The 18,850-nt window shown below is 52.0% G+C and overlaps 1 long non-coding RNA gene across 2 annotated transcripts, besides 2 other annotated features; it reads right to left on the minus strand.

The window, feature by feature from the left end:
• Positions 1–41: 41 nt before the first annotated feature.
• Positions 42–18,767, minus strand: LOC105371899 (uncharacterized). 2 transcript variants are annotated; one of them, NR_136417.1, is made up of 3 exons: positions 18,452–18,767; positions 13,461–13,711; positions 42–127 (listed from the first exon to the last, which is right to left on the minus strand). It is a non-coding gene; the product is annotated as an uncharacterized LOC105371899 (long non-coding RNA). The 2 variants fall into 2 exon arrangements; NR_136416.1 differs by lacking the exon at positions 42–127 and adding an exon at positions 12,314–12,617.
• Positions 7,403–8,316: an enhancer, noted in NCBI's record as "H3K4me1 hESC enhancer chr17:74953917-74954830 (GRCh37/hg19 assembly coordinates)". NCBI's record gives its function as "activates a minimal SCP1, AML or CMV promoter by ChIP-STARR-seq in naive H9 embryonic stem cells {active_cell/tissue: H9 hESC(naive)}" and the evidence as "EXISTENCE:reporter gene assay evidence [ECO:0000049][PMID:30033119]".
• Positions 18,618–18,697: a silencer, noted in NCBI's record as "silent region_9030". NCBI's record gives its function as "represses an Ori minimal core promoter by ATAC-STARR-seq in GM12878 lymphoblastoid cells {active_cell/tissue: GM12878}" and the evidence as "EXISTENCE:reporter gene assay evidence [ECO:0000049][PMID:35858748]".

An 18,850-nucleotide genomic window follows, 5' to 3' on the forward strand; every position in this document is an offset into this window, starting at 1 on the left:
TCGCCCAGGGTGGAGGGCAGACAGCCGGGGTCCCCGGGTTCTGCTCCATGTCACTTGGGGCACATGGGGTGCTCAGGTCTGCAGAGCTGGGTGCTGTCTGCTCCAAGCCGCCCAAAGGAAGTCCCTGCTGGTGGCAGTGACCCAGGGTCATCTCCTGGCTGCCCCAGAGCCGTGACTGCAGGCACCCTGACAAGCAGTGGTGAACTCAGTCATGTTCACCTCAGGCTGGCCTCTGCCTACCTCCAGCTGGCTGTGACAGTGGCCGCACGAGGTCAGAGAACACAAATCCATTTTGCTAAGAGCCTGAGCCACATAATGAGAAAATGAGCCGGTGTTTACCTCCTCGGGCACTGGGCTGAGAGTTTGTTCCATGCTTGAGTTGTCATTTCAAGCACTCAGCTACCCTAGCAGGTAAGTACTATTATGTTAATATTTCCATTTTACAGCGAGAGGCACAGAGAGTTCAAGTAACTTGCCCGAGGTCACACAGCTTGTAAGCAGGGAGGTGGGATTTGCTATAAAATGGGGATCATTTTCAAGTCATGGTGAGGAGCAAATGGCTGGATAGAGTGACAGCCTGGCATGGTGACCCTGCATGCACGTCTTCGCTCCAGGCTTTTTTTTTTTTTTTTTTTTGAGACGGAGTCTCGCTTTGTCACCCAGGCTGGAGTGCAGTAGCACAATCTCGGCTCACTGTAACCTCTGCCTACTGGGTTCAAGCGATTCTCCTGCCTCAGGCTCCCGAGTAGCTGGGACTACAGGCGTGTGCCACCACACCCGGCTACTTTTTGTATTTTTAGTAGAGACGGGGTTTCACCATGTTAGCCAGGCTGGTCTCAAACTCCGGACGTCAGGTGATCCACTCACCTCGGCCACCAAAAGTGCTGGGATTACAGGCATGAGCCACTGCGCCAGGCCTTCGCTCCAGGTTTTATGTGATCCTGTATTTGAGTCACTGCACAATCAGGGCCTTCCTTCCCACCAAGGGTTCTCCACTGGGGCAGTTTTGTTCCCTGGAGGACAGCTGGCACTGTTTTGGATTGTTGTGACTTGAGACAGGGGTGGCATGCTATTGGCCTCCAGTGGGGTAGAGTCCAAGGATGCTGGCAGCATCCTCCAGTGCACAGGACAGCCATACCACGTAGGATGATCTGGCCTGGAGCATCAGCAGCGCCAAGCTTCACACACCCTGTTCCAGGCCAGTGGTTCTAAAATTTTGGCATGCATCAGAATCACCTGATTCCTGAGCTTACTGAAACACATGTTGCTGGCCCCCACCTGCGGAGTTTCTGATTCAGCAGATCTGGGGTTGGGCCCTGGGATTTGAGTCTTTAATAAGCTCCAGGTGGGCGGGAGGCTTGCTTGAGCCCAGGAGTCTGAGACGAGCTTGGGCAACGTAATGAGACCTCGTTTCTACAAAAAAAAAAAAAAAAAGGCCAAGGTTTGTGGCATGCGCCTGTGTTCCCAGCTACTCGGGAGGCTGAGGTGGGAGGATGGTTTGAGCCTAGGAGTTTGAGGCTGCAGTGAACCATGATTGTGCCACTGCACTGTAGCTTGGGCAAAGAGCAAGACCTTGTCTCAAAAAAAAAAAAAAAGAAAAAAGAAAAAGAAAGAAAAAGGCCAGGCATGGTGGCTCACACCTGTAATCCCAGCACTTGGGAGGCCGATGCTTGAGTTAGAGACCAGCCTGGGTAACACAGACCTCATCTCTCTAAACAAAAACAAAAACAGAAAAAACCTCTGGGTGCTGCTGCTACTACTACAGGGGGCCAGGGCCCATACTTTGAGAACAGCTGGTCTAGACCAAGCAGGTACTAGTAGGTATTTCAAACGTGAGAGTACCAATAACTTGGTACCAGTTTTTAATTAACAGTGACTATGGCCATTTTCTTCTGTTCCAGCATGTAATGCCAGGGGAGAGACCTCATACAACCAAATCTGCTCACAGAGATCAAAGCCACAGGCCATCAGAATTCCTCCTGTCCCCTCATTTTACAGATGGAGGCCCGAAGAGAACAGGGGCCTGGTCCATATCGTACAGCTGGAGGAAGAGCCCAGATCTCAGTCCCTCTCTGTCTCTACCTCTGTCCCTCTCTGCTATGCTGCTTAAAAGAGGCTGAGAAAAGAATAGCTGAGCCAGGCATTTTCCATGATCTTGTCCAGCAGGAGGGGGGTAGGGCTCAGAAACCTGACCAAGGCCTTCTTTTAGGAACTGAGCCTAGTTAGGGGAAAAAAGAAAAAAAAGGCCAGGTGCGGTGGTTCACGCCTGTTGTCTCAGCGTTTTTGGAGGCCAAGGTGGAAGAATCTGAGGTAGAAGGATCACTTAAGCCCAGGAGTTCAAGCAACATGGCAAGAACCCATCTCTACAAAAATTGTTATTATTTTTATTTTTTTGAGATGGAGTCTGTCATCCAGGCTGGAGTACAGTGGTGTGATCTTGGCTCACTGCAACCCCCGCCTCCCAGGTTCAAGCAATTCTCCTGCCTCAGCCTCCCGAGTAGCTGGGATTACTGGGATTACAGGCACCTGCTACCACGCCCAGCTAATTTTTGTATTTTTAGTAGAGACAGGGTTTCGCCATGTTAACCAGACTGGTTTCAAACTCCTGACCTTAGGTGATCCACCCACCTCGGCCTCCCAGTGCTAGGATTACAGGCACGACCCAGGGCGCCCGGCCTACAAAAATTATTTAAAAATTAGCTAGTGTGGCAAGTGCCGGTGGTCTCAGCTACTTGGGAGACTGAGGTGGGAGGATCGCTTGATCACTTGAGCCCGGGAGGTCCAGGCTGCAGTGAGCTGTGATCATGCCGCACCACCGCCCTCTAGCCTGAGTGAGAGTGAGGCCCTGTCTCCAAAAAAAAAAAAAAAGACTATTTTTTTGAGCAGTTTTATGTTCACAGCAAAGTTGGGTGGAAAGTAGATTTCCCATATGCCACCTCCCCCACATACACAGGCCACCCCCACCATCCACATCCCCTACCAGAGTGGTCCATGTGTTCCAATCTATGAGCCTACACTGACGTATCATCAACCAAACACAGTTCACATTAGGGCTCACTCCTGGTGCCGTGTATTCTACGTGTTTTGACAAATCTTTAATGAGATGTATCCACTATTATGGCACCATACAGAGTGGTTCCATTGCCCTAAAAATCCTCTGTGCTACCCCTGTACATCTCTGCCTCCTCCTAACCCTGGAAAACCATGATCTTCCGACCATCTCCGTAGTCTCACCTTTTCCAGATCATCAGGTAGTTGGAGCCCTACAGTTTGTAGCCTTCTCAGATTGGCTCCTTTCCCCCTAGTACCTCGTAACATGCATCTAACATTCCTCTGCATCTTCTCGTGGCCCGGTGCCTCATTTCCATTTAGCACTGAATAATATTCCATTGTCTGGATGGATCACAGTTTGTTTACAAATTCACCTACTGAAGGACATCTTGGTTGCCTCCAAGTTTTGGCAGTTCTGAATAAAGCTGCTATAAATGTTCACTTCCAAGTTTTTGAGTGGAATCCATTTTCTTTTCTATTTTCTTTTCTGCTTATAACAGTCACAGTCATTTGTTTTGCTCACAGATCTGCAATTTGGGCAGGGCCTGGTGGAGGTAATTTGTCTCTGCTTCACATGGCATCAGCTGAGGTGGCTTGCCCCAAGGCTGGAGAATCACTTCCAGGACAGCTCACTCATGTGGCTGGCAAGTTGGTGCTGTCGGCTGGGGAGCTCAGCAGGGGATTTGGGCTGGGGGCCATGGTTCCCATCCATGTAGGCCTTTCCAAGGACTCTTGTGCTTCCGTGCAGCATGGTGGCTGGGTTCCAAGAGTGAACATCCCAGGAGAATAAGGTGGAAGTGAAAGGCATTTTTTTGAACTAGCCTTGGAAGCCACATGCTGTCAATGCTGGCATACTCTATTGGTCAAGAGAGTCACAAAGCTCCTCCTGCTGCAGCTCATGAGGAGGGGACATAGATGCCACCCCTCAATGGGAGGGGTGTCAAAGTCACAGCAGAAGAAGTGCTCGTGGAATGGGATATAGTGTTGCCTCTATCTTTGGAAAATATAATCTGCCAAAGATGCAGCTTGGTCTTCCAGCATTTCTGGACTGTTGTCCTCATCCGGTCCAAGATGGGTCCCCTCTAAGGCCTCATTCCATCCAATGAAAGAGAAAAAGGAGAGGGGGAGTCAGCTCATGCTGCTTCTGATTGTGCTCCATTGGCCAGAGCTTAGTCACATGGCCATACTTAGGTTTACCGGTTTATTGTAAAGGATTTTACAAAGAGTAGAGATGAAGAGATGCGTAGGGTGAGGTATGAAGGGGGCGGAGGACACGGAACTTCCGTGCCCTCCCTGGACGGCCACCTCCCAGGAACCTCCACATGTTCAGCTGTCCAGAAGCTCCTGGACACAATTTCCAACAACTAATTCGGGTAAATGCCAAGGAACACGATTGCTGGATCGTATGGTAAAAGTATGTTTAGCTTTGTAAGAAACTGCCAAGCTGTCTTCCCAAGTGGCTATAGCATTTTGTATTACCAGCCCTGAATGAGAATTCCTGTTGCTCCACAGCCTCACCAGCATTTGGGGTTGTCAGTGTTTTGGATTTGGGCCATTCTGATAGATGTGCAGTGGTATCTCATTGCTGTTTTAATTTGCATTTCCCTGATGACATATGACGTGACATATATATTTGCCATCTGTGTATCGTCTTTGGCGAAGTGTCTGTTCAGGTCTTTTGCCCATTTTTTAATTGAGTTGTTTTCTTAGTATTGAGTTTTAATAGGTCTTTATATATCAACCTACTTTTGAATCCTGTCTGAACTTTTAAATGAAGCTGAAGGGGCTGGCTGGCAGTAGTGGGGGAGAAGTTGAGAATTAGAAAGAATTTGCAGCCCAGATGTCAGTGCCAGGCAGAGCTGCGGCTCCCACACCTTCCTCTGAAGCTGGCCACGCCTCCTTCAGCCCTGGCCCAACTCTGAACAGTGGAGGGAAGGGCAGGCACGGGCCGGCCTCACCACCGCCCTGCCAGGTGACCACCCCTCCCCACTCACAGGTGAGGAAACAGGTGTGATGAAGCCCCTCAGCCCATGGACTCACCTGAGCCAATTAAACCAAAAACCAAAATATCTAGGCAGGGCGGCTCATGCCTGTAATCCCAGAACTTTGGGAGGCCGACGTAGGCAGATCATTTGAAATCAGGGGTTCGAGACCAGCCTGGCCAACATGGTGAAACCCCGTCTGTACTAAAAATACAAAAATTAGCTGGGCATGGTGGTGCGCGCCTATAATCCCAGCTACTCGGCAGGCTGAGGCAGGAGAATCGCTTGAGCCCAGGAGGTGGAGGTTGAGGCTCCATCTCAAAAAAAAAAAATTTCCTATTTTTAGAGTCAGGGTCTCACTCTGTCACCCAGGCTGGAGCCCTCAAACTTCTGGGCTCAAGCAATCTTCCCACCTCAGCTTCCTGAGTAGCTGGGACCACAGGCATGCGTCACCAAACCTGGCTAATTTTTTTTATAGAGATGGGGGTGGGGGGGCGTCTCACTATGTTGCCCAGACTTGTCTTAAACTCCTAGGCTCAAGTGATCCTCCCACCTCGGCCTCCCCAAGTGCTGGGATTACAGGCGTGAGCCACCGCACCCAGCTGGGCATCAGCATTTCATAAAGCACTCCTCTATGTGTCTAGTGTGGTTCTACTGTGAACCACTGCACTTACCCATCATACCTGGCTAGCTCCTCTCTGCAGCCCTCATGGCTTTGCCCTCCAAGGAGGGAGAGGAGGTTGAGTACCAACTTGGGGAGGCCTCATTTGAAGCCTTGGCCTCCAGCCCCAGCCCCTGGGCTGAAGCAACTTCTCTTGCAGCCCAGGGCCCACTAGGCTGAATCCAGTGGAGGAAAAGGTGGGGGATCCAGCTGGACCTGGGGGCAAAGGATGCAAACAGGCCTCGGCTGGCTCCAAGACAGTCCTGAAGTTCAAGGGCAGGAGAAATAACATGAGTGGGAGGCTGGTAACAAGTTCTGTCCCTCACAGCCAGGGAAGCTGAAGGGCAGCAGAGAGGACGGGGTCCCAGGTCCCAGCAGGACTGTAGGAGGCCAGCTGCCTGTGGAGGTCCAGGAGGCAGTCCCCACCCTGGGTTCTTCTCTTGGCAGCCAAAGCACCCTCTTAGCTGGGCCTGGCGGGGCTGGAGGCCGAGCAGCTAGACCTGGGGACCTGCCTTCCCTGTGCTCTGGCCCTGCAGCTGCCCCAGCTGCCTTGGCTGACTTAGAAGGCTCCCAAAGACCCTGTATGTTCCCTAACCCCACCTTCCCACACCCTCCCCTGGGGAAGATCTGACTTCTGGGAGGCAAGAGCCCAGGCAGTTTGGGGTCTCAAAAAAGAGGTCCGTAGGGTTTAGGTTTGTCCACCCCTTTCTGCCCGACCACACTGGCTCCTCCAAGTATCGGCCTAGCACTCTCTAAAAGGGAATCACGTATTCCCTTAAAGGGGGCGGGGCCCTCTTTTCAGGACTGTGCTAGGGTGAGGCTGCCCTGCTCCTCCTTGGCTGTGCAGGTGCAGACCCCACCACCCCATCCCAACAAGCCCGACTCAGAAGGGAAGATGGGGTGAAAGCCCCGTCACGGTCCTCGCGAGAGCCCCGAGCTCCTCACCAGGCTGGCACCTGGCACCCCAACCTGCTGCTTCGGAACTTCCTCTTAGTTTGCACTTCAGCTTCCTCCTCTGTAGAATAAGGGACATAATCCTGGGACACAGGTGTTTTGAGGACTAAAGGAGGTGAGGCAGGTAAGATTCCAGGTGCTGCCTCTGAGATGAGGTGGCTGTTGATGACTGCAAGACACTCAGCTGCTCTGGGGAGCCGCGCTGTCTCCAGGGGCAAGGAGCTGCCGCCCCTCCTAGCAGGAGAGCACAGTAAGGCTCAAGCGGTCCCTGGCTCCCAGCCTGCCGCCACCCAAGATTGGAAACCCCAAACCTGGGGGAACTTCTCACCGCGGCTGCTGGGGGGTGGCTGTCCTTGGGCAGAACAACACAGAAGATGCTGTGGGTTGAATTGTGTTCCCCCCAAAAGATGCATTGAAGGCACCCCTGGTGCCTGTGAATAGGATCTTACTTGGAAATAGGGTGTGTGCAGATGTTCTTCAATTTGAGATGAGGCCAGACTGGATTAGCAGAGGCCTTAAGTCCAATGACTGGTGTCCTTATCAGAAGAGGACCCGGGGACACACAGGGAAGAAATCCCTGTGAAGACAGAGGCAGAGATCAGAGCCATGCAGCTGCGCCAGCAAACACTAAGGCCTGCTGGTGACCGCCGGAAGCTGGGAGGGCAAAGATGGACCCTTCTCTGGCGCCTTCAGAGGGAATACGGCCCTGCTGGCACCCTGATGCTGGACTTCTGGCCTCTAGAACTGTGAGGAAATACGCTCCCGCGGTTTTAAGCCACAGCCGGTGGTAAGTGACTATAACAGCCATGGGAAGCTCACACAGAAGGGGTCAGACTTCTGCTGCCTTTCAAGATAATAAGAGGCTGAGCCACGCATCCCGAGTCGGGAGGTAAACGGCCCCCTAGCCAGGCCGCTGGCTCCAGCATGCAGCCCGCTTTGTCTTTTCGCAGAAAAGCAAAGTGTTTGCTGAAAAAAGGCATCGAAGGAAAGAGAACACAGCTCCCCAGGGATGCAGACCAGTCCCTCCGCCCCAAATAAACACCCACAACACAGACCTTCAGGGCACCTGGGGTGCAGAATCCAGGCGCTTACAGCAGGAGAAGGGGGTGGTCCCCAAGCCTGACTTTTCAGGTTGATTCTGCGCTCCTCTGGGACTGGGCCACTCTCCGAGTCAGCCTGAGATCATCTCCCTCTGAGTCTCAGCTAAAAATAGTCCAGGCTCCGACGTCTGCATATATTTGAATATTGGGCTCAAGAGACCGTGATTCTGGGGAAACGGTGCAGCTGGTTCCCCCTGATGTTGGAGCGTGAAGCCAACAGAGCACGTTCTCCCCATTAAACTCTCAGCTCCCACAGCTGCCCAGGCCTGACCACCAGCGCCTCTTCCTTAGAGACCCTTCGTGGGGTGTCTTCTCCAGTCTGGGGCCCCATGAAGCAGCCCAGAGCTGGGTGGGATTTGGCTTTTGGAGTGCTGGGAGAGTTTCAGGCTGGGGTCTGAGCCCTGGGAGGGCTCCTTGAGCCCACAGCAGATACCCCTGGCCCCCATGGCTCCCCCAGCCCCATGCTGGTGCCCACCCCATCCTTGGACCTCTGAAGGCAGAGGGTGGGTGGAGACTATGAATCCCCCGGCCTTGTCTCAAGCTGGACTTAGACACCCTCACTTTCCCCTCTCTTTTCCCTCTCCCCATCACCATCCGTTCAGCAAACATTCTCCCAGGAGCAGTGCTTGGTAAGGCACTAGGCCCGGAGGGTACAGTCTCCTGTCTAGTAGTGGCTGTGTCCTGAGCCCCTGTGTCCAGGGCTGGGGCCTGCTGAGGACTCAAGTGGGCTTCCTGAATCTGCTGGTGCCTGATTTTAATCAGTTCTGGAGACCGCTCTGCCAATATCTCTGATCTTCCTTCTCCCATAGTGACAGACCCTCTCCCAATCTCCCTGTGCTGGGGATGGGTGTTTTTGCTCTGTCCTTCCACGGAGACCGCAGAACTGAAGGGGCCTGGCTTTATGCAGGGGTCTCGATTCTGCATGTCCATCCCCCAGGCCACACCTCTCATCTCCGTGGAGGAGTCAGAGTCCAAGCCCTGGACCCCAGGACCAGGAAGCCTCGGCCTGCGCTGGCCACACTCACGCAGCCACCGTCTGGTTTTCAGCTCCTGGTTCACTCCGGCCCTTGGGCTTCCCCTCCTTCCTGCAAACTCATCTCTGCCTTAAGCTGGATGTGGATGCTTGTGGTTGTTCCTTTCCTTTCCTTTCCTTCCTTTCTCTTCTTCCCTTTCCTTTCTCTTCTTCTCCCCCTCTCCTCCCCTCCGCTTTTCTTCTCTTCTCTTGACTGAGTCTTGTGCTCTGTCACCCAGGCTGGAGGGCAGTGGCGCGATCCTGGATCACTGCAACCTCCACCTCCTGGGTTCAAGCAATTCTCCTGCCTCAGCCTGTCGCGTAGCTGGGGTTACAGGCACCCACCACCACTCCTGGCTATTTTTTTTTTTTTGTATTTTTAGTAGAGACAGGGTTTTGCCATGTTGTCCATGCTGATCTCACACTCCTGACCTCAACTGATCTGCCCGCCTTGGCCTCCCAAAGTCCTAGGGTGACAGAGCCACCGTGTCCGGCCGGTTTCTTTTATTTTCTGGTGTTTCATGAAGAAAGGCTACGCAGTTCCCGTGCCTGACACAGGACGAAGTTGTTAACCTTCCCAGAGGTGCTTTCGTGTAAACAGTGGCTTCTCTTCTGGGATACAACAAAGAACGTGGGCCATGGAGTCAGACAGCCCTGGGGTCAAACCCTGTTTTGGGCCCCCATCACTAGCTGTGACCCACAGAGTTTATGTCTCTGAAATTTTGTTCCATCACCTGGTTAAATGGGGACAATACCACCGTCTTGGAAACAAATGGCCACAAATTTAGTGGCATAAAATAACACAATATATCTTAGTCCTGAACATCAGAAGTCCGGAACGGCCCTCACTGGGCTAAAATCAATGTGTCGGCAGGGCTGCCTGCTTGCCTCCTGGAGGCTCTGTGGGAGAATCCATTTTCTTCCTCTTCTGTTTTCTAGAGGCTGCCTGCACTCCCTGGTTCTCGACCCCTTCCTGCATCTTTAGAGCCAGCAATGACCAGTCGACTCCTTCCTGTATCTCATTCCTCTGATGCTGACTCTCCTGCCTCCCTCTTTCGCTTCTTTTTTTTTTTTTTTGAGACAGGGTCTCACTCTGTTGCCCAGGCTGGAGTGCACTGGTGTGAGCACGGCTTACTGCAGCCTCAACTTCCTAGGCTCAAGTGATCCTCCCACCTCAGCCTCCCAGGTAGCTGGGACTACAGGTATGCGCCTCCACGCCCAGCTAATTGTTGTATTTTTAGTAGAGATGGGGTTTGTCGTGTTGCCCAGGCTGGTCTCGAACTCCTCAGCTCAAGCGATCTGGCCGCCTTGGCCTCCCAAAGTGCTGGGATTACAGGCATGAGCCACTGCACCAAGCCTTCAAATGTTAATCTCATCCAGAAACACTCTCAGAGAAACACCCAGAATGTTTGACCAGCACCTTAGCACCCCATGGCCCAGTCAAGTTGACAGATGAAATTACCATGACCTCCTTTCAGAGAAGGAGGAAATCTCATCACACACACTAAGGTGCCAGGGTCAGCTCCCATGAGCTCCCAGAGACGGTTGTTAGATTTTCAGGAATTTTGCAAGCCAGTTGTTAAATTGTTAGTATCTCCATACTGGCCAGGATGGGAGTATTACACCATGGAAACTGGCAAGTACTAGAATTCAGGACTTTTTCTTATTTGCATTTTGCCTTGTTCTAGACCTCGTATATAAAGATCAGTGTGATCCCCTATAAATATCTATCCTTGGGGTGTGTGTGTGTGTGTGTGTGTATTTTTTTTTTTTTTTTTTTGAGACCGAGTCTCACTCTATTGCCCAGGATGGAATGCAGTGCTGTGATCTTGGCTCACTGCAGCCTCCGCCTTCTGGGTTCAAGCGATTCCCTTGCCTCAGCCTCCCTAGTAGCTGGGATTACAGACACATGCCAACACACCCATTAATTTTTGTATTTTTAGTGGAGATGGGGTTTTACCATGTTGGCCAGGCTGGTCTCCAACTCCTGACCTCAAGTGATCCACCCATCTCAGCTTCCCAAGTGCTGGCCTTGGGGTATAATTTATCACCGTTTTTCCTGAGTTTAGTTAAAGTTAAGTAATGTGCATCAAAGCCTTAAAAACACACGTCCTTTGATCAGTTAATTTCACCTTTAGAAATGTCACCTAGGTAAGTGAATGAGGGTATGGGTAGATACCTATGCAAAAGCCTGTTCATCAAATTTGTTTAGAATAATGAAAAGTGGGAAATGGCCCAGTAGTAAGGAACTGAGAAGTTAAGGGACCTGTATGCCCCTACAGTGGAATATTATAGAATCATAAATAATGAAATGGTAGGCCAGGTGCAGTGGCTCAAGCCTCAAGACCGAGGTGGGAGGATCACTTGAGCTCAGGAGTTTGAGACCAGCTTGGGCAACATGGCGAAACCCCATCTCTACAAAAAATACAAAAATTAGGCAGGTATGGTGGTGTGCGCCTGTAGTCCCAGGTACTTAAGAGGCTGAGGTGGGAAGATCACTTGAGCCTGGAAGGTTGAGGCTGCAGTGAGCCAAGATTGCGCCACTGCACTCCAGCCTGGGTGACAGAGTAAGATCCTGTATCAAAAAAAAAAAAAAAAAAGAGGAAAGAAATGTTAGATGATTGAGATGATTGTTTTGTTTCTGGAGAACGAGTTTACCAGTTCACCACTGACCACATGTGTCAGGTGCCTTGGCTGGTGGTAATGGTAATTCTTTTCTTCCTCGCTTTGCTGAAGACAAAAGTCTTCATTATCCAGTGAAGGAGCTTCCCGAAGGTGAAGTGCCACCCTGGTGGAAGGTGTTTTTGTCCGGTGTGGCCTGTGGCTCCTCCAGGCCCTCCTTTCCCCCAGCCCTGCCCCACGCTCTGGAAGCCCCGCCTCAGTCCAGAGTGCTCCTGGCACCCCAGCCCGGGCCCAGGCGAGCCAGATTGCAGCCGGCACAGGCAACTCTTCAGAGCCTGCTCATCGAGGATTTGACAGTCGATGTGCGACTTGTGGTCTGAGCGGGGCCCTGCGTCCCCTTGCCACTACTTAAGAAAATAATTAATAATAATTAATGAATAAACTGGGATTATTGAGAGCCATTTACCACAAAAGGCCTCAGGGTACACTGCACTCAAGCATAATTAAAAGTGGCATCTTTTAAACTTCGATTTGAAATGAAAACTGGCTCAGTTGTCCAGCGCAGTCTGGGCCTCTCTCTGATCCCAACTTTGCAGATGGGGCCTGAGATGATGGGAGGAGGTGCGGAGGTTCGTCCTGAGGATGAGGGTACAGCCGGAAAGCATGGGGAGGACCTGGAGGAGTGTGGTCCCAAAGATCAGAGTGGGCCTTCAGTCTGAGAGGGCTGCTGCAGCCATGGCCACCAGCAGAGAGGGAACAGGATGGCCTGGAAGCAGGTGACCATTTGCTACCGAGGGAGAGGATGAAATCCCTGGTGCCAAACTCAGGCCACTTGGCCCCTGCGTGCCAGCTGGGTCTAAAGGGAACAGGTTTCCCCTATTAGGCCCAATGCCCTGTGCTCCTTCCCTGGCCAGGGATGGTCATTCATTCATTCATTCATCGAGTTTATTGAGAACCTGCTGCCCGCAAGCACCACTCTGGAGATACAGCTGTGTACAAAAGAAGGTGCCTGCTCTCGGGGAGCTTATAATGCAGTTGGCAGAAGACAGACAATAAACAAATATTTAATACATGCCATAGAGAAAATTATAGCAAGAGGGCAAGGGAGTGTGGAAGGTGGGAAGGTAGTCCTGGGTTTCCAGGGCGATCTCATGGAGATGACATTTGGGCAGGAAGTGAGGGAGTGAGCCAAAAGGATGAGCTTCCAGGCAGCAGGAACAGCCTGTGCAAAGGCCCTGAGGCAGGTGCAAGATGGAGGAAAGAGGCTAGCATGGGTGGAGCAGAGCAGGGAGGGGAGAGTGAGGATCAGACCTGTTCTAAGAGTTGCTGAACTCCAGTCCTGTGGGTGGCCCTGGACTTGAACCTTGAGATACAGTGGTAAACATAGCCATCCTCATTCTCAAAGAGCTCAGTGTCTATGGGGAGGGCCCCACAATGGAGAGACGCTTAGATGGCTGGTGGTGAGGTATGTGGCTCCCGGGGGCTTCTGATTGGCCAGGTGGGAGCACTGCCCTGAAAAACTTGGCCAGGCGTGGTGGCTCACACCCATAATCCCAGCACTTTGGGAGGCCGAGGCGGGTGGATCACCTGAGGTCAGGAGGTCGAGACCAGCCTGACCAACATGGAGAAACCCTGTCTCTACTGAAAATACAGAATTAGCCGGTTTGGTGGCACATGCCTGTAATCCCAGCTACTTGAGAGGCTGAGGCAGGAGAATCACTTGACCCGGGAGGCGGAGGTTGCGGTGTGCTGAAATCATGCCATTGCACTCCAGCCTGGGCAACAAGAGTGAAACTCCATCTCAAAAAAAAAACAAAAAAAAACCTGGGCATCCTGACTTACACAAGGGCAGGTGGAACCTGGAGAGCCCTCCCTCCGCATCTCCCACCTCTCAGGAGCCCCCAAGGTGGGCCTAGGAGGCAGCTTCACCTTAGAGGCTATATCCCACTCATTTCCCATCTCTCTCCCACCGGCTTCTCTCCCTGCTCCCCTGGCTATGTCAGCCTTACCCTCTTCCTGTTGAGACCCCCTTAGAAACCACTGCTGCCCCCAACCCACAACATGAGGCTGAGACTCACCGTTGACTCTGGATAATGATTGGGTCCTTCCCTCCTCCTGGGAGAAAGGTGCACAGGCCCCTCCCGGAGGTGGGCTGCCATCAGCCAAGAGCACGTGGACCATCTGCAGGTGCCCTGCTCCATGTCCCTGGCTGGGAAATCCTGTTCACTGGCTCTTGATCTTTCTCTAAAATGAGGGGACACTTACCCCTTTGTATCCCAAACAAGGCTAACGAAAGCTCCATGAGGGTGACATGGTGGAACCCCAATTCCTGCCAGGAGCGAGAGAGGTAGTAATCGGGATTAGAAGGGTGTCCACACCTGTGAGAGCAATCTCCTGGCTGTCCCCGAGGGTCCAGGCTGTGGGCTGCGACCAAACCTTTCTGCTCCCTCTCATCAGTCAGCCTGTTCCAGAGCCCGGAATAGATGCCATGTTTGAGGAATCCCACCTTTCGGGCAAGGCTGGATGCAGGGCAGGGAACACCTGGATGTGAGGTGGCCTGGCACTGGGTAGGAATACAGGAAAAGCAAAGAAAAGGCACGGTGGCTCACGCCTGTAATCCCAACACTTGGGAGGCCAAGGCGGGCGGATCACCTGAGGTCAGGAGTTCGAAACCAGCCTGGCCAACATGGTGAAATCCCATCTCTACTAAAAACAAACAAGCAAACAAACATTAGCCAGGTGTGGTGGCACAGGCCTGTAATCCCAGCTGCTTGGGAGGCTGAGGCAGGAGAATCACTTGAACCCAGGAGGCAGAGGTTGTAGTGAGCCAAGATTGTACCACTGCACTCCAGCCTGGGCGACAGAGTGAGACTCCATCTCAAAAAAAAAAAAAAAAAAAAAAAAAAAAGGAAGACAGAAAAAGCAAAGCCTCTTTGACCAGGTTCCTCCCTCTTGGTATCCTGCAATTTCCATTTTATTTCGATGAAAGAAACAAAGCCCAGGAAGTAGAGGTGTCAGCCCTAATTTCAGAAGCTTCCAAACAGCTCTCTTGGCTGTTGATATGTAGGGGTGAAGCTTCACTGAAAATCAGTTGACCAAAGGCAGATTAATAGGAGAAACGGCGTTCACAATTTATTGTAATGTGCATAGCACGGGGGAATTGTAGAATGATCACCCAGTAACTTGGTGGCTTACAGATACTTATATACCTTTTTTTAATTTTGAGACAGAGGTTCACTCTTGTCCCCCAGGCTGGAGTGCAATGGTGTGATCTTGGCTCACTGCAACCTCTGCCTCCCGGATTCAAGCGATTCTCCTGCCTCAGCCTCCCAAGTGTCTGGGATTACAGGCACCTGCTACCATGCCTAGCTAATTTTTTGTATTTTAGTAGAGACAGGGTTTTGCCATGTTGGCCAGGCTGGTCTCAAACTCCTGACCTCAGGTGATCCACCCGCCTTGGCCTCCCAAAGTGCTGGGATTATAGGCATGAGCTACTGTGTCCAGCACAGATACTTATGTACCTTTTGTCATAGGGGAAGGGAAGGTGGGAAAATGGGGATGATTTCAAGAAGGATGTTTTAAGAGGATAAATGATTTTTAGGGGGATTCTGTGGGCTTAGAGAACATATAATGGCCTGGGACAGAGTCTGTTGGGCCCACAGAGCAGTGTGTCAAGTCTGCCTAGGTGTGTTGACAGACAGCAGTCTTTCTTCCTGCAATATGAGTTGGTAATGAAAACTCAGGGAAGTGGCTGGGTGTGGTGGCTCACCCCTATAATCCCAGCACTTTGGGAGGCCAAGGCGGGCAGATCATTTGAGGTCAGGTGTTTGAGACCAGCCTGACCAACATGGTGAAACCCTGTCTCTACTAAAAATACAAAAATAAGCCAGGCGTGGTGGCGTGTGCCTGTAGTCCCAGCTACTTGGGAGGCTGAGGCAGGAGAATTGCTTGGACCTGGGGGGCGGAGGTTGCAGTGAGCTGAGATCACGTCACTGCACTCCAGTCTGGGCAACCGAGTGAGACTCTGTCTCAAAAAAAACAAAAAGACAAAAACTCAAAAGAAAAGAAAAGAAAAGCCTCAGGGAAGGCAATTGCATCCTTCTTTGGCAGGTCTGGTTTCCGGGTAGATAAGGAAACTTCAGAGATCGGCTTCATCCTGTGCTCTGAGAGAGACAGAGGACTGCGGGGGAGGTCAGAGAGACCTTGAGGCCACCTCATGTCAAAGCGCCATGTTTTGGGGTATCAGTTGCTGGGTCCTGGAAAGGTCTTTGTTTCCACCCACCCATGTATCCATCCATCCATCCATTAAAAAGTAATTATTGCGTGCCTATCCTGAGCCAAATACTGTGTTTAAGCCCCCAGGACATGGCTCTTTGTCCCCTCTGCCCCTGGAGAGGGATGGCTCACTTGAACATTTAATGCTACAGTGGAATTATAATTATGAAAAACCACACACTGCAATTCAGGTTTAGGATGAAAGTATTAATTTCCTGGTTTTAATTATTCAATAGAAATTAATGAAAATTCAAGAGGAATCTCCAAGGAGCTTCGCTAACTAGCAGAGGTGGGGTGGATCGAGGAGATGAGAGTGGAGTGGAGTAAAGTGGAAGAGAGTGGGGTAAGCCAGAGGCTGAGGGCCCTGCACCTCTGCCCAGCCCAACTCATCTGGGAGCTTTCCCAGGGCCAAGGCACGAGCCTGCTGCATGAACCAAGCCTCAACCAAGACTCAGGGTTTGCTCATTCATCTGGGGGACTTCGGCTGGGCTATGTGTTGAGCTCCATCCCTGCTAGGATGATGCCAGACAGTGGGGAGATGAAGACCCAGCCCTGCCCTCAGGGAGCTCCTGGGTCATTGCAGGCAGACAGACCACACCTGTAGGGCCTGAGCTAAGCCCTGGAGTTCTGGCAACGCAGAGCCGGGCTGCTGGGACGAGGTGGGAGGTGAGGACAGGAAAGGCTTCCCTGAGAAGATGACTGGCAGAGTTCTGAGGGTCTCTCCCTCCTGGGTGAACTGAGAAGCCCCCTCTGAACAGACGCAAGGTAACATTTTAAAGTAGTGACCATTTGGGGCAGGATGATTTCCCAGCGTGGTAATGTGTCATTTGTCCTCACTTTAAAAGAATCCGAATTCAGATCTCTCTCTCCTCTCTCCCCTCTCTCCCCTCTCTCCCCTCTCTCTCCTCTCTCTCCTCTCTCTCCTCTCTCTCCTCTCTCCCCTCTCTCCCCTCTCTCCCCTCTCTCTCCTCTCTCATCCACCCCTAAGGGCTAGGAGGGTGGAAGATAAACTTCTGAGGGTGGGACGGCTCTGAGGCTTGGAGAATGGGAGACAGTTTCACAAAATGTCACTAAATGTTCCCCAGAAAGGAAGAGGATTGGAGCTTTGAGGGCAGATGATTCGGAGGGTGGGGGAACCTGTGTCCCAGTCCTAGGAGGCTCCCTACAAGGTGACAGGTCCTGAAAAGGGATGGCTGGACAGGCCATGATGACCCCAGGAGCTCTGGCCTCAGAAGCCCTGGCAAGGGGTCCCCACACCCAAGCTCAGTGCCAAGAAGGAAGCTTTGGATGGAATGCAATTGATTCCTGCCTTGTGGCCAGTTTTGCATCTATTTGTAAATTCATTTCCATGTTCCTGACTGCCTACTTAGGAGTGCCCTTTGAATTCTCCTTTGAACTTGGTTGTAGCACCTTGCAGGATCCCTCGTGAATTAATGAGTTAAATAAAACCATGGACACGTGTTTGTTCTATTTGATGAAGCCATGATACTCCTTTATAAAAAGTATTCTCTAGCAATGCCTTATAATCCTAGTAGTGAGAACTACTACATGCCCTCATGCTACGAGGAGGAACAGAGGCATAGCGACTTTAAGTAGTTTGCCCAAGGTCACACAGCTAGGTGGGGTGGGGCCAGGATTTGGATGCAGCAATCTGGTTCAAAGTCCTTAAAGAGCACTTGAGCTCTGTTATCTGTCAGTCCCCCAAGTAACCCCACAAAATAGGTACTTTATTTTTAGAGACAGGATCTCACTCTGTTGCCCTGGCTAGAGTACAGTGGCCCAATCACAGCTCACTGCAGCTTCAACCAGGAGGCTGAGGAGCTCAAGTGGCCCTCCCACTTCAGCCTCCTCAGTAACTGGGACTACAGGTGCACACTACTAGGCCCAACTAATTTTTTTACTTTTTGTAGAGTCGGGATCTTGCTATGGTGCCCAGGCTGGCCTCGAACTCCTGACCTCAAGCGATCCTCCTGCCTTGGCCTCCCAAAGTGCTGGGACTACAGGCATGAGCCACCCCGCCAGGCAAAATAGGTACATTATTTATGCTCAAGAACAGCAGCACAGAGGTTAAGTAATTCATCCTCCCTCCCACGGTAAGTGGCTATTTCTGTAGTAGGATCACTGTACACTCTGTGGTGGGTTTGATATCTGCACTCAGGGAAGCGCTGATAGAATATTAACAAAAATTGTGGCTAGCATCTATTGAGCACTTTCTCTTTTTTTTTGAGACGGAGTTTCGCTCGTCGCCCAGGCCAGAGTGCAATGGCGCCATCTCGGCTCACTGCCATCTCCCTCTCCCAGGTTCAAGCGATTCTCCTGCCTCAGCCTCCTGAGTAGCTGGGATTACAGGCGTGCGCCACCACGCCCGGCTAATTTTTTGTATTTTTAGTAGAGACAAGAGTTCACCATTGCTGGCCAGGCTGGTCTCGAACTCCTGACCTCAGGTGATCTGCCCGCCTTGGCCTCCCAAAGTGTTGGGATTACAGGCGTGAGCCACCGCGCCTGGCCCCTATTGAGCAATTCCTAAGTTCCAGATACTGTTGCAAAGGCTATACCCAGATCATCTCATTTACTCCTAAGTCCCTACAAGGAAGGTAATTTCATTAGCCTATGTTACAGATAGAAAGACTTTGAGGCACCCAGAGGGTGAGCGGCTTGAGTTTTTCTTCATCCCTGGGTTTATCTGAAGCTGAGCTCTGCCAGCGGACGTGGCCCGTAGCCGTCTGCCTTAAGAACTGGCCTGGACTCCCCAAACACCACCCTTCCTCTCCCGAGGCTCCCCAGCCCCACTTACACCCTGAAGGCGGATCCCTTGACTCCCGAGAGGCTGGCGGTGGAGTGCGCGGCAGGACCGCAGGGCTGATCTCTCCAGCTGGGCTGGGCTTTGGGGACATAGGCCTTGAAAATCTCCTAATTACCGGTGGGGGCGGAGCCGCGTCTCCAGGGTCTCGGGGAGGGCGTCGGGGGTCGGGGATTGCAGGTGCCCGCAGCCGGCCTCGGCTGTTTACCAGGCACCCGTTACGCTAATTGAAATGTGCCAAATAGCTGCCCGGGGCGGGGCCGAGCGGAGCAGCGGGCTCCGGGTCACCTGCGGTGTTGATGAGGTATTCAAGAGGAAAAAGCGCCGGAGCGGCAGCTTCATTTGCAAGGGAAATGACTTGACGAGGCCCTTCATTTGCATCTTTCGGCCCAG

This window comes from Homo sapiens, chromosome 17 (assembly GCF_000001405.40).
Source record: "Homo sapiens chromosome 17, GRCh38.p14 Primary Assembly".
NCBI classification, from domain to species: domain Eukaryota; kingdom Metazoa; phylum Chordata; class Mammalia; order Primates; family Hominidae; genus Homo; species Homo sapiens.